Raw genomic sequence first — 14,098 nt, 5'->3', positions numbered from 1 at the left:
GACTGAATCCTGTTCTATCTAGATCAGCGCTGTGGAAGAATTTTCTGTGATGATGACAATGTTCCCCATCTTCACTGCCAGCTACATCAGCCATGAGCACATACTGAGCACTTGAAATGTGGCTACTGTGCATGATAAATTGAATTTTTTCTTTATTTAACTTTAATTAAAATGTATATCTCAGTAGGCACACATGGCTAGTGGCTACCCTATTGGACCGTGGGGTTATAGATGCTTCATACCTCATTTAATCCCCGCAGTAGCCCTGGAGTATACTAAATGTCTAGCCCTACTACTGTCCATGGTAGACACCCAATAAACCAGAGCCAATGGTGCTGCTGTCATGACTTCATGGCAACGGTGGTGATGGTAACGTTCAAGGCAACAGTGATGCCAGAGGATGGCCCATTCCCACGGCTGGTAAGAAAGAGAAACATCATGTACAGATCAATAACAACTTACCGGAGACAAAATGAGAAAAGGGGAGTTCCTTATGTGGCAGCCCCAGGCGGTCCTTAGAACTTCCCAGGAACAAGCCCCTTGCTAACCTTAATGAGGCTCTTCCCTAGGAGAAGCAAGTCCACCCTCATTACATCACACAAGCAAACAAGTGCTGGTGACACATCACCTCGGCACCCTAGTGACATCAGAGAAGATCACCTCCAACTACAGGAGGGTTGGTTCCAGCACCCAGTGGAAACTGCCCACTCCACCTGGAGGGGAAGAATGTGCAGCAAGGGAAACATCAAAGGCTCTTTTTGTTAATTTCAAACTTTCAAAAACAAAGCTTCAATGATCCATGGAGCGTACTATGTTTCAGGTTCCATTCTTGGCTAATAATAAGAGCTGTCATTTGTTGAGAGTTGATTATGTTCTAGACACTGCATGAGGTAAAAATAATGTTCATAGTGAGTATAATAAATGATCATTGGCACTGATTGAACGCTTACCGTGTTCCAGGCACTGTGCTGAACACTTTGTAACCGTGATCACCACTTACTTCTCACAAGTGCTCAGTGAGGGAGGAACCGTCATTGTCTCCATTTTAGAGATGAGAAAACAGGCTTGGACTGGTGAGGAAACTTGCCCATGTGCTCACAGCTCAGGAGAGGTGGATCCTGAATTCAAAACCTGGTTTATCTCTAGTGGATAAAGAAAATGTGGTACACATACATGATGGAATACTACTCAGCCATAAAACGGAACGAAATAATGGCCTTTGCAGCACCTTGGATGAAGTTGGAGGCCATTGTTCTAAGGGAAGTAACTCAGGACTGGAAAACCAAATACCATATATTCTCACTTGTAAATGAAGCTAAGCTATGAGGATGCAAAAGCATAAGAGTGATATAATGGACTTTGAGGACTCCGGGGAATGGTGGGAGGGGGTGAAGAATAAAAGACTACATATTGGATACCACATATACTGTTACAGTGATGGGTGCACCAAAATCTCAGAAATCACCATGAAAGAACTTATCCATGTAACCAAAAAAACCACTTGCTCCCCCAAAACTATCAAAATTAAAATAAAAGAAAAAAAAAACAAAGACTGGTTTGTTGGACACCAGCCTAGACTCAATTGTCAGGCTGGACTGCTGAAGATACAATGGTGAATTACACAGATGTGCCCCTGCCCTTACGGGGAAGGCAGGCAATGGAGCCAGTCATTGGAGTCTGAGTGAGAAGTGCTGTGGTAGACGAGATGAAGGCCTAGTAGAACTCAGGGAAAGAGCATCTAACTCAGGCTTGGCAGAGATGGGTGACCAGGTTAGAGGTTCCCAAATAAGTGAATTCTGAGCTGATATCTAAATATGGCCAGGGGTTCACCAAACCAAGAATATGCTAAAGAGGGTTACAAACCAAGGAAAAGCATTGCAAAGGTGCATTCAAGGAATCAAAAGCAGCACAATGGGGCTGGAAATTAGGTGGGGGTTGGGACGGATGAGGGAGAGATGGAAACCCAACTGGCACCACTGACAAAGACAGGGACGTTAGGGAGCGAAACCAGGTGGGAGGTGGCGAGGGTTGTGGCACACTGAGTTTCAGGTCTGCATGGCACCACCAAATGGAAATGCCTAACTCTAGAGGGTGGGGGAAAGGAGGCTACAACTCAGAAGTGGAGTCAGATCTGGAGGCAGGAGTTTCAGAGTCCTACTCAGGCAGGCAGGAGTGGAAATCATCAGATGATTCACAGAGAAAGAGAAGAGCAGATAAATGAACCCAGAGATGCGGAGTATGAACATCTGTTGTTTTTGCCTCTCCAGTACCCATCCCCTCATGTGACAGCACTTTGACTTTCCTTTGCGAAATCACCTCTCCCCACTCTCAGTCCTTATGGAGTAGGGCTCAACTCTAACCTTAGCTCCAAGGGTGATTATGTGACCCAGCCTGGGAAATGAGGGCACCCCAAATCCAGGAACCCAAAATGTGAAATGCTCCAAAACCCAAAACCTTTTGAGCACTGACATGATGCTCCAAGGAAAGGCTCATTGGAGCATTTTGGATTTTAACTTTTTGGATTTGGGATGCTCAACTGGCAAGTAAAATGCAAATAGTTCAAAATCTGAAGAAAAAAAAAATCCACACTCAGAAATGCTTCTGGTCCCAAGCATTTTGGATAAGAGATGCTCAACCTGTATTACATCTCCGTGGCAACTGTGATTGGTTTAGAAATGTATACATCACTCAACACAGGCCAATGAGAATGAAACCCAAAACTTACAGTGGGACTCTAAGGAAAGAAGCAGTCCTATACCACTGATGTAGTTAAGATACCATTGATGAAGATAAGATTGGACCTGCAAGTTGTTGTTGCCTCATTAGTCAAGCACATGCCTGAGAATCAAGCAATACAGAGGAAAGCTGAATCATGATGGAGAGAGAATCAGATTGCTGAACACCTTGATCATATCTTCCCTGAAGCCACCTATCCTAAGATTCCCAAGTATGTGATCCAATAACTTACATTTTGTTATACATAAACCAATTTGAGTCAGATTTTCTGTCACTTACAACTAAAATACTGGGATACTGGAGGTACCTAAAACTGGGTGGCTAAAGAAAGGAAAAGAAAGATGGGCACAGTGGCTCACGCCTGTAATCCCAGCACTTCGGAGGACGAGATGGGAGGATCGCTTGAGCCTAGGATTCCAAGGCCAGTCTGCGCAACATAATGAGACCTCATTTCTTAAAAAAAAAAATAAGCAAAAATCTAGCAAATTTTTTTAAAAAGAAAGAGCTGCCAATTAATGAAAAAGGAAAGAAATAATCAGAAGTAGAAGAATTCTATTACGTGTCACAAAAGCCAAAATGGGGAAGAATTTTAAGAAGGGACATCCATTAGTAGTGGCATTGCCACAAGGAGGATAAAGACAAATAGGGCTGTTGAATTTAGCTAAGACCTTGGGCAATTATCTTAGTTTGGGATACCCCAGACTCTCAGACAATGATTAAAGTACAAACAGCTTCTGTGAGAGGTGATCCCAGAGAGCAGCAGTAGGGAGTGGGGAAGTAAGACAGTGAAGGGAAGGAAGCCTATAAAGGCAGTGTTTTACTGCATGTTCTCACTTATAAGTGGGCGCTGAATAATGAGAACACATGGACATTTGGTGGTGGGGAATGACACACACTGGGCCATGTCAGAGTGGGGAGGGAAGAGGGAGAGCATCAGGAAGAATAGCTAATGGATGCTGGGCTTAATACCTAGGTGATGGGTCGATCTGTGCAGCAAACCACCATGGCACGTGTTTACCTATGTAACAAATCTGCACATCCTGCACATGTACCCTAGAACTTAAAATAACAGTTGAAGAAAAAAAAAAGACACAGACATGAAACGACTTCAATTCAAAAACACAAAGTCACCATAGAGTAGGGGAGAAAGGGTGCTGAGAGAAAGCAAAGAAGTAAAAGTGGTCCAAAGATTACATCTCAAGGGTGGGAGGGAAGAGGTGAGGAGAGGGGAAAGTGGAAGTGTTCTGAAGATACCACCGTACTGGGATGGGCTAAAACAAGGAGGTATGGGTATAATAAAGTATTTTTGTGAAATTTTTTAAAAAAGGAAGTGTTTGTGAGCTTGTTACCATTCTGGGTCACTGGAGCTTAATACAACTCTAGGAGGTTGTTTCCCATAAGTCATTGGTTGAGGATGGGCCCTGGGGGACATTAATCATCCTCTCCTCTCTCCTGCACCATCCCTCACCTCTCCTCCTGTGCTTCCACAGCCTGACATGCCTATGGACCGAATGGACTACGGCAGAGCAAGCCCTCAGGTGAACAGCTGCAGTTGCTGCCCATTGGAAGCCAGGCCAGAATGCAATGAAATGGAAGGGTGAGGGGACACAGCAGAGCACCAACAGTGCTACAGCATGTCACTTCATTTCCTGCACATCAGTGTCCCCATCTGCAAAGTGGGGGGACATCGCCTAGAACTACCTTGAAGATTAAATGAAAATAAATCATGTCTACACTTAGCCCAGCACCTGCAAGATCGTGCCAATAAACACACACTAATATTTTCCCTTTTGGTGACCTTCTGGGGGAGTGATTTCAACACAGTTATGGAAAGCAGAACCAGTGAGGAAGTGACACCCAAGATTGCAGGCTGCTCATTTGAGGCAGTACCAAACCGAGGAGACTCCAGCTGGATAAAAGATAATCGCTAATATTCTATTTAAACAGTAAGCAAGTTTGTATCTATTTCTGTGCAGAAGTCCTCGATTTAGCAAGAAGGCTTTCCTGCGAGGCGCTGCCTCTCCACCCCTGCCTTTGTGAAACATCAGAGTCACTCCCACTATGGGAAACAAAGCAGCAACCGTACATTCACCCCGTTTTTCTTTGGTCCTACCCCAATGACACATTATTGAAAGATTTAGGAAGATCAAATGGAGCTAGGAAGAGAGAGTCAGAAATGCCCCCTTCCACAGTGTCAGTTTCTCAATGATCAGAGCTCCTCCCTAAAGATTGGCCAGTGTTGACTCTAAAAGAAAAATGGAAAGTGGTCAGGAGAATGATGACGAATCACCATAACACCTCTGATATACAGCTCGGCGCACAGCAGGATTTCAAGCACACTGTTTCTTTCACCCTTGACATAATCCACAGGGGGTAAGGGATGTATCTAAGTGAGATTGTTTATTTTGTAATTATTTTAACCAATACTCCCAATACTTACAATGAGCCGGCTGCTCTACTTTACAAATATTAATTGATTTAATCTTCCTAACAACCATGCGTGGTAGGTACTATCATTATATACATTTTACAAATGGAGAAATTGAGGTGAAGAAATGTTAGGTAACTTGCCCGAGGTACCTACAGTATTAAGTGTAAAACCAGGATTTGAACAAAGGCAGACTGGGTCTGGCATCTGGCTCGGAACCACCACTACGCTGTTACCTTGAAGGCAACAGACGAACTTGATTGAACTCCTCTAGATCCTGGTACTAGGTCAGTCTATTTCTGTAGGCATTGGTAAGGAGGTACTTAAAATAATAATGAGGAGAAGGAGGAGGAATAAGAAGAGGGGGTGGAAGGGAGTGGGGGAGGAGGAGGAATAAGAGGAGAAAGAAGAAGAGGAGGAGGAGAAGAAGAAGAAATAACAGTAGCCAATAATAGCTAACATATACTGAACATTTCCTAAGTGCCAAGTGCCGTGCTAAGTATAATAATAAAAAGAGGCTGGGCGCAGTGGCTCACACCTGTAATCCCAGCACATTGGGAGGCCGAGGTGGGTGGATCACGAGGTCAGGAGTTCGAGATCAGCCTGGCCAATATGGTGACACCCCATCTCTACTAAAAATGCAAAAATTAGCCGGGCATGGTGGTGGGTGCCTGTGGTCCCAGCTACTCAGGAGGCTGAGGCAGAAGAATCGCTTGAACCCAGGAGGCAGACATTGCAGTGAGCTGAGATTGCACTGCTGCACTCCCACCTGGGTGACAGAGTGAGATCCCATCTCAAAAAGTAATAATAATAATAATAATAAGATAGGCCAGGCGCAGTGGCTCACACTTGTAATCCCAGTACTTTGGGAGGCCAAGGTGGGCAGATCACCTGAGATCAGGAGTTCAAGACCACCCTGGCCAACATGGCGAAACCCTGTCTCTACTAAAAATACAAAAATTAGCCAGGCGTGGTGGCACACACCTGTAATCCCAGCTACTCAGGAGGCTGAGGCAGGAGAATCCCTTGAACTTGGGAAGCAGAGGTTGCAGTGAGCCAAGATTGTGCCACTGCACTCCAGCCTGGGCAACAGAGTGAGATTCTGTCTCATATATTAATAGGATAACATAATAATAATTAATAACACATAATAATAACAATCTTCACATTAATGCTAGGAGGTGGTGCCATTTCATGACTGTTTTTCAGATGAGGAAACTGAGATATAGAGCTGTGTGAGGTTATTGAGCTAGGAAGTCAGAGGGCTGGTATTTGAAGGCATACCCTTAACGATTTGCAATCCCTGAAGGTGCAGAATAAAGGAACTGTGAGTTTACGGAAAGTGAGGGCACACACTCAGCTTCAATGACCACAGTACCCTGGTGATGGCCAGATGAAGGGAAGAGTACAAAGGGGTGTCTTTGGGGTTGATTCAGAGGGTGGTACAAATACTAAGGTGAGGGGTGGGGAGGAGGGGCTTGGCTAAAAATCTCCAGGAACAGACGAGAGACTCAGACTTCAAGGGGGCAAAAAAGGCAGATGCTTCACGTGGGAATAAGGGCACTGGCCCCCAGTAAACACTGGAGCTTGTGGCTGAGGCTGAAGCTCCTGTTTTGATGGCATGTTTTCAATCTTCTCTCTCCTGGGACACCTGGGGCTTTGGGTGGGTACTCAACTTTCTCAAAACAACAAAAAATAAAGAGGCAGAAAACAACATTTCCTTCCCTTTTTCTTTACCCTTCCAGGGCTTACAAGGTTTATGGGCTACACATTTACTAGTTTACTACATGTGCACTAGTCTATCATTCATCTTTATTTAGAATAAACATTGCAGAATCTCAATCCTTGAACAAAAACTCCCTGACATGTCCTAAAACTTTCTTTTCTTTATTAACTTCAACTTTATTCACATTGGAAACCATTGTACATTATCTACTGGACCTATTTTTAATAGTCTTTCTTATTACATAAGCAATTCATGAATACATTCTCCTTTTAAAAGATTAAATTATTTTTACATAATTGAAACTGTCTAATCTTTTTCTTTATGGCTTCTGGATTTCCCTCACTCAAGGTTACAGAAGTATGCTCCTAAAACTTCCTCTAATATTCTTTTTTTTTTTTTTTTTTTTTTTTTTTACTGCCTATAGCTTACTCCACCTGTAATTTATTTTTGTATGAGTTAGGAATCAAACTCAGCATCCTTCCACATGGCCTCCCAATTATGCCAGCACCATGTATTAAATAAGCCATTTTTTTTCCTACTGATCCAAAATGTCACCTTTTAATACATTAAGCTCCCCTGCATCCCAAGACCTTTCAGTCCTCCTCAGGACTCTTGTCTCTTATGCCACAGCTAGAAAAATTTTAGCAATTATTTGAAATGTGTTTCATGGCTTAACAATAGGTATTTTATCTTCTAAAAGACATTTTCTAAGAGGCACTTTCGTGCGCTGTTGGTGGGTGCATAAATTGGCACAACATTTGAGAGCAATTTAGCAATATCTATTACAACTAAAAATGTTAATATCCTTTGCCCTAAACACCCCATTTCTAAGAATTGTTCTATGGAAATCCCCACTACAGTGCCCAAGAGTGTTCACTGTTGCACTGTTCATTATAGAGAAAACTTGGAAATAATCCAAATGCCTATTGCTAATGTTTTAGACAAATTATAAATATGAATGTAAATAATATGGTGGCCATATTATGAAACACTCTGCAGCCATTTAAAACATAAGGTGGATCTAAATAAGGTATTAATAAGGGAAAAAGTTACTAGCCTGGGCAACAGGGCAAAACCCCATCTCTACAAAAAAAAAATATTACAAAAATTAGCTGGACGTGGTGGCGCGTGCCTGTAGTCCCAGCTACTTGAGAGTCTGAGGTGGGAGGATTGAGCCCTGGAGGTGGAGGTTGCAGTGAGCTGAGATCACACCACTGCACTTCAGCCTAGATGACACAGCAAGGCCCTCTCTCAAAAAAAATTATAAAAAAAGTATATAGGATATGATCTCTTTTTTTGTTTATTCGTAATAAAGTCTTATATTTATAAAAATTTCACAGGATAATACACCTAAATATTGTTTATTGCTTCTATAAGGTGAAGATTTTCAAACTAAATACACAGTTATACATCATCACAGTCTTTTATGATAAGTGCTTCTTTTGGTGATTAAAAAAATACAAACCTGGAATGAGAAAACATTCTATGAATCAAGGTGAGTATCTCACATTGAATGAAGAGGAGATGACACAAAAAGTCAGTGCAGGGACAAAGCTCAAATCCAAAGGAAAATGCCTTTCTGCTGTGTGGTTGGATTGTGAGACACTTCTGTCGGAAGCCCCTGGTCACTCATGGGCAGTTCAGGACAGAAGTGACAAAGAGAGAGGTAAAGGACACATCCAAGGTCTCGCCCATGGTGGGAGAAGTAAATGTTTCACCGGTCATCAAGCAGCACATCCTACCCAACATCAAATAGGCGGACCTGCACCTTCTCTCTCCATGCACTTTTCTGTTATTATGGACAACCCTAACTGTCTGGGCAGTAACCCCCAGGGGACAGCCTCCCACACTTATAAACACAAGTCCCCAAACGCAGAACACTCAGCTGGGGATGAGGGCAAGCGCGGCACCCCATAACCATTGAAGGACTTGCCTGGGAAGAGCAATGAATTGAAGTTATCAGAAAGGAAGGCTGGAAATCACAAATATATGGCACACAGGGGCATGGGTACAGTCCACCGAAGAAAGAACTGTCGGAAAAGTGAGTCTCAAGCAGGACTGGCTGATATCACGTGATAATCATAATACACACGTGAATGGCTCACATTTATTAACTGCTTCTCTTCATCCTTTGCCTGGCTGTGTGTGTGTGTGTGTGTGTGCATGTGTGTGTGTTTGAGACAGTCTCGCTCGCCCAGGCTGGAGTGCAGTGGTGCCATCTTGGCTCACTACAACCTCCACCTCCCAGATTCAAGTGATTGTCGTGCCTCAACCTCCCAAGTAGCTGGGATTACACACACACCTGTGTGTAATTTTTTCCCTACTGATCCAAAATGTCACCTTTTAATACATTAAGCTCCCCTGCATCCCAAGACCTTTCAGTCCTCTTCAGGACTGTTGTCTCTTATGCCACAGCTTGAAAAATTTTAGCAATTATTTGAAATGTGTTTCATGGGATTACACACCTGCATATGTGTAATCCCAGCTAATGTTCTGTAGTTTTAGTAGAGACAGGGTTTCATCGTGTTGTCCAGACTGTTCTCAAACTCCTGACCTCAAGCCATCCACCCACTTCGGCCTTCCAAAGTGCTGGGATTACAGGCATGAGCCGCTACACCCAGCTTGACTCATTTACTCTTCACAATAACCCTATGAGATGAGTATTTTATTCCCAACTTCAGATGGGGAAACTGAGGCATAGAACAGTTAAGAAACCAGCCCAGTATCACATAATAGGCAGTGCAGCTAAGCTGAACTAAGGTGTTCAGGCTCTAGTGTCCATGCTGTCCTGTCAACTCCAAATGTGCATGCTTATCACTGACAACTCCCAAACTCCTTCACTCCTCCTTTACTCCTCAGTCTAAACTAACTCTCATAAATGGAGCCAGTAAGCTCATTCCCAATGGATGAAATGACTAGCCATGGCTCTTGATAGAAGGTTCCTCCCAGGACGGGAAGGGCAAGAGCCCGAGGAGCCCATCATCCTTACTGAGGAAGGGTCTTTCTGCAACAGTTGCTGAGACTTATGTCTTATGAAACTAACAGAGCTCCGGTGGTCACAAAGATTAGCCAAGGAGACCTTCTCTGACACCTCCTTCAGAGACCTAGACACCACTAAGTCAGTCTAAGATCGATGCCTTCCCTGGTCAGGCGTGGTGTCTCATGCCTGTAATCCCAGCACTTTGAGAGGCCAAGGTGGGCAGATCACCTGAGGTCAGGAGTTCAAGACCAGCCTGGTCAACATGATGAAACCCCGTCTCTACTACATGGCACATGTATACATATGTAACAAACCTGCACATTGTGCACATGTACCCTAAAACTTAAAATATAATAATAATAAAATTTAAAAAAAAATTAGCCGGGCATGGTGGTGGGTGCCTGTAATCTCAGCTACTTGGAAGGCTGAGGCAGGAGAATCGCTTGAACCCGGGAGGCAGAGGTTGCAGTGAGCTGAGATCACATCACTGCATTCCAGCCTGGGTGACACAGAAAAAAAAAAAAGATGGATGCCTTCCCTGTAACGTGCATCATAGTTGATGTCTGACTGCCCTCTTTGACTATATGCTCCTTGAGAGCAGTGACTGGGTCTGTCTTATTTATTGCCATACTTCCACTGTTGTAACTTCAACATCCAATACTCAATGAATATGTTGAACAAATGAATAAACAAGTAAATGAATGAATGAATGAATGAATGTGCTCACGCATTACATCTCCTGTTGCAGCCTTCCTTTCCTGCCATGAAGATCTTCACTCAACCACCCACAAATTCCTTGAGACCACAGGAAGAAAATCAAAAGAATCTCAAAAGCTCTAATTGGCAAATGAAAACAACAGCTAAATTAAATGTCAAGTCTAACAGGATGAGGAGCTCTCAACAGACAGTTCTCAATTAATTCAAGGAGCCCCTGGGTGTGATACCCCATGCTTTCTCCCCAGCTGCAACAGGAGGATGCCCAGCGCCAACTGCAGAGCTGATGCCCGGCTAACCTGGATGGCTGCTCGGGAGCAGCCACTAGGGAAGCCCCACACAGTAGCCAGATTGTGCACATTTTCAAGAGAAGCTGGAAATTGTTGATGGTTTCTAAATGTCAGCCCCGAAGTCAATATTGGAAAATAAAACCCCGGTAGACAGCTGGTTAGCTTTCTCTAGGGTAAATCACAGTGAGAGAAACAGCTGAGCAGGGAAGGATCAAGCTCCAGAGAACAGAGTCAGGGGGCTCTGCCATTCATTGACTGCGTACCTTCAAGCAAGTAGATCAAACACTCTGTGTCTCCGTAAAACAGGGAGGATAATGGCACCTCATTGGGGTGGCATGATGATTAAACGCAATAATGCATGGAGAATGCTCTAGGAAGCACCCTGCATGTGGGAAGCAATGAATAAATGCCCCTCTCAGTACAGGTTGACTGGGGACCAAGTGTTTCAGCCTCACCCAACCACACTGTGATTCTAAACCCACGGCACTCACTCCTAAACCTGCCAATTCAGGCGGCATGGTATCCAAACACTCCCATAGCTCCTGAGCCAGCTTCCCTCCATCATCCAGATTCGTGTACAGTGCATTTCCATGGCAATAACCTGTTCCACAAAAGGTACAGTAAATATTTACTATTTTTTCACACATTTCAGATTATTTGGGTCTAACAATCTAACTGGCACTCTCTACTGCTTTAGAAAATGGCAATGAGAAGCCAAGCCTCCAAGAACAAAACAGAAGTGCCTTCAGCAACAGGGACACCAGGGAACCACGTGGACAACCAAGAACAGCATGTGGCCACAGATAAAGAGATTTCAGGAAGCTCCGCTCACAAGAGCGCCTCTGGGAGCTATTTAACCCCCTCCAGTCGCCCCACCCTCCCAGAAACAAATGCAATACATTGCAACGATTCTAAACACCCCCTCATCTCTTTTAACTCTCTCTCTATGCAGCCCCCAGCACCCACACACATACACAGGTCCTCTGAGAGATTTTTTAAAGCCTTGTTCACACATACGCAGAATATGCAGCACTAAGAGTTTTAACTGCTAAACCCCTGACGTGCGTGCACATACACACACAGAGTTTGATAATCAGCAGAGCTTCACTGTGCCTGCTCAAAGAGGCGGAGGCTCTCTTGGAATGAGGGGGGCTTCTCTGCTCAGGGCTTTTGAAATGTCAGCTGAGCCACGGAAGAGCTTGTGATTCACTCCCTGACTCACTCCCATCTCTGCAGCAGACCCCATCTCTGCAGGGAGGGCAGGACAGGGCTTTTTCATTCATTCCCTCATTCAGTCACAAGACCTGTTTTATACCACGTTTACACACAAAAAAAACTCATTCAGGCACAAAACTCTGTGCCCAGCTTTGCACTAGTCCCTAGAGAGACAGAGAAGAATAAAGTACAGCCCCTGCCCTCAAGTTTCTCACAGTCTGACAGCCAGGGAGACAAACAGGTCACCACCAATCAATGTGATATATCAAGGAGTATATACAAGGTACCTATATCTATTTAGAAGACTGACACATTTGACTGTGGAAGTGTGACGTTCCTGTATTACAAAAGATTTCATAAACCAAAAGAAAAGACATAGGACAGACCAAGGGGATTTATTTTTAGACTAAATCACGGATTGGCATCTAGAATATATAAAGAGTTACTATCAATTAATTAAAAAAAAAAAGACAGGGGACCAGGTGCAGTGGCTCATGCCTGTAATCTCAGCACCTTGGGAGGCTAAGTTGGGAGGATGAGTTGATCCCAGGAGTTTAAGACCAGCCTGGGCAACATGGCAAAACCCTGTCTCTACAAAAAAAAAAAAAAAAAAAGCCTGGCATAGTGGTGTGTGCCTGTAGTCCCATTTACTAGGGAGGCTAAGGTGGGAAGATCACTGGAGTTGAGGTTACAGTGAGCTGTGATCTGGACACTGTACCCCAGCCTGGGTGACAGAGGAAGACCCTGTCTCAAATAAAAAAGCCACTAGAAAAATTGACAAAGTAATACGAAGAGGGAATTCCCAGAGAAAAAAATACAAGTGCCCAAAAAGCGTATGCCTAATCTCATGAATATCTGGGAAATGCAAATTAATACAAGATATTTTATCCATTAGATTGGCAAAAATGGAAAAGACTGATAACTCCCAGTATTGGCAACCACGTGGGCTGAAAGAATGATGGAAGAACGCAGGTCTAGTAGAGCACCCTGGATGCAAGGGAATGGGCATTCGATTGCTCTCATTATTCATCTTTCCTCCCACGTGCTTTGCACATGACAGTCACTCAGCAACCCTCTGCAGAACTGAGTCAAACAGGAAAAGTAATGCCGCATATCTGAGCTGCAGAGTGTTCTTATATTCAAACACCCATCCCTATGGCTCCTCTGGGATACTGGAGATGACTGCCGGCAGGATAACAGGTGTGGGAGCCAGGGACAAGGCGGGAAGAGGGCTTGCTACTCAGGGAATAGAGTACCCCATTGATGCTGGTCACTCTTCCTTTCCTACCAGGGATGCTCAGGCATTCCACTCCTTCACAGACAGCAACCTTGCCCTGAGAAAAGAAAGGCTTATGTGTGATTATTCACTATGGAAAATAAGGAGGAAACAGATCAGGAGAAACAGGAAAAATAAAGTTTCACTTGCTAAAGTGAAACTGCAAAGAGGCACCAGCCTGAAAGGCAAAACCAAGGCCTAGATAGACAAGACAGCAGCAGGCCCAAAATGCCCACTGATGCCAGGAGGCCCCTCTGTTCTACCCAATAATGGAAACAGCCAACACGTGGGTTTACTCTGTGCCAGGCACTAAGACCTCAGGTACCTTATCCCTACAGACCTCAGCCTATTTTAAAAGGAACTCAGAGAGGTTAATCAACTTGTCTGAGGCCACACAGCTTGTCCACGGCAGTACTGGGGTTTGAACTTAGGTCTGTCTGACTCCAGAACCCCGTGCTCTTACCCATACTGCTTAGCTTTTAGCTGGCCCAGTCCTGGGAAGTCAGCCCTCCAGGAGGAAGCCCTGCCTGACAATGGGTTGGGACTAGAAGGAGATTTATGTCCCCCATTCTGAGGAAAAGCAGGAGCACCAGTTGGGGAGTGGGAGGACCCAGTGGGACAGACAGCTAAGAAGAGAGTCACTATTACCATTCAGGGACACACAGAGTCTGGAACCTAGGTTACTTCCAGGCTTAAGGGAGTGTGGGTGTACCCACCCTCCACCCCACCCACA

General features: G+C 44.3%; 1 protein-coding gene across 3 annotated transcripts in view, besides 1 other annotated feature; it reads right to left on the bottom strand.

Annotated features, from left to right (window-relative positions):
* PRKCB (protein kinase C beta) overlaps positions 1-14,098 on the bottom strand; it is a 384,629-nt gene that overhangs the window by 256,329 nt on the left and 114,202 nt on the right. The window lies entirely within an intron of this gene.
* Positions 4,589-4,768: an enhancer, noted in NCBI's record as "active region_10593". NCBI's record gives its function as "activates an Ori minimal core promoter by ATAC-STARR-seq in GM12878 lymphoblastoid cells {active_cell/tissue: GM12878}" and the evidence as "EXISTENCE:reporter gene assay evidence [ECO:0000049][PMID:35858748]".

Source organism: Homo sapiens, chromosome 16 (assembly GCF_000001405.40).
Source record: "Homo sapiens chromosome 16, GRCh38.p14 Primary Assembly".
Lineage (NCBI taxonomy): Eukaryota > Metazoa > Chordata > Mammalia > Primates > Hominidae > Homo > Homo sapiens.
The sequence above is the reverse complement of the archived record's forward strand: the minus strand, read 5'-3'. Positions and strand labels throughout refer to the sequence as shown.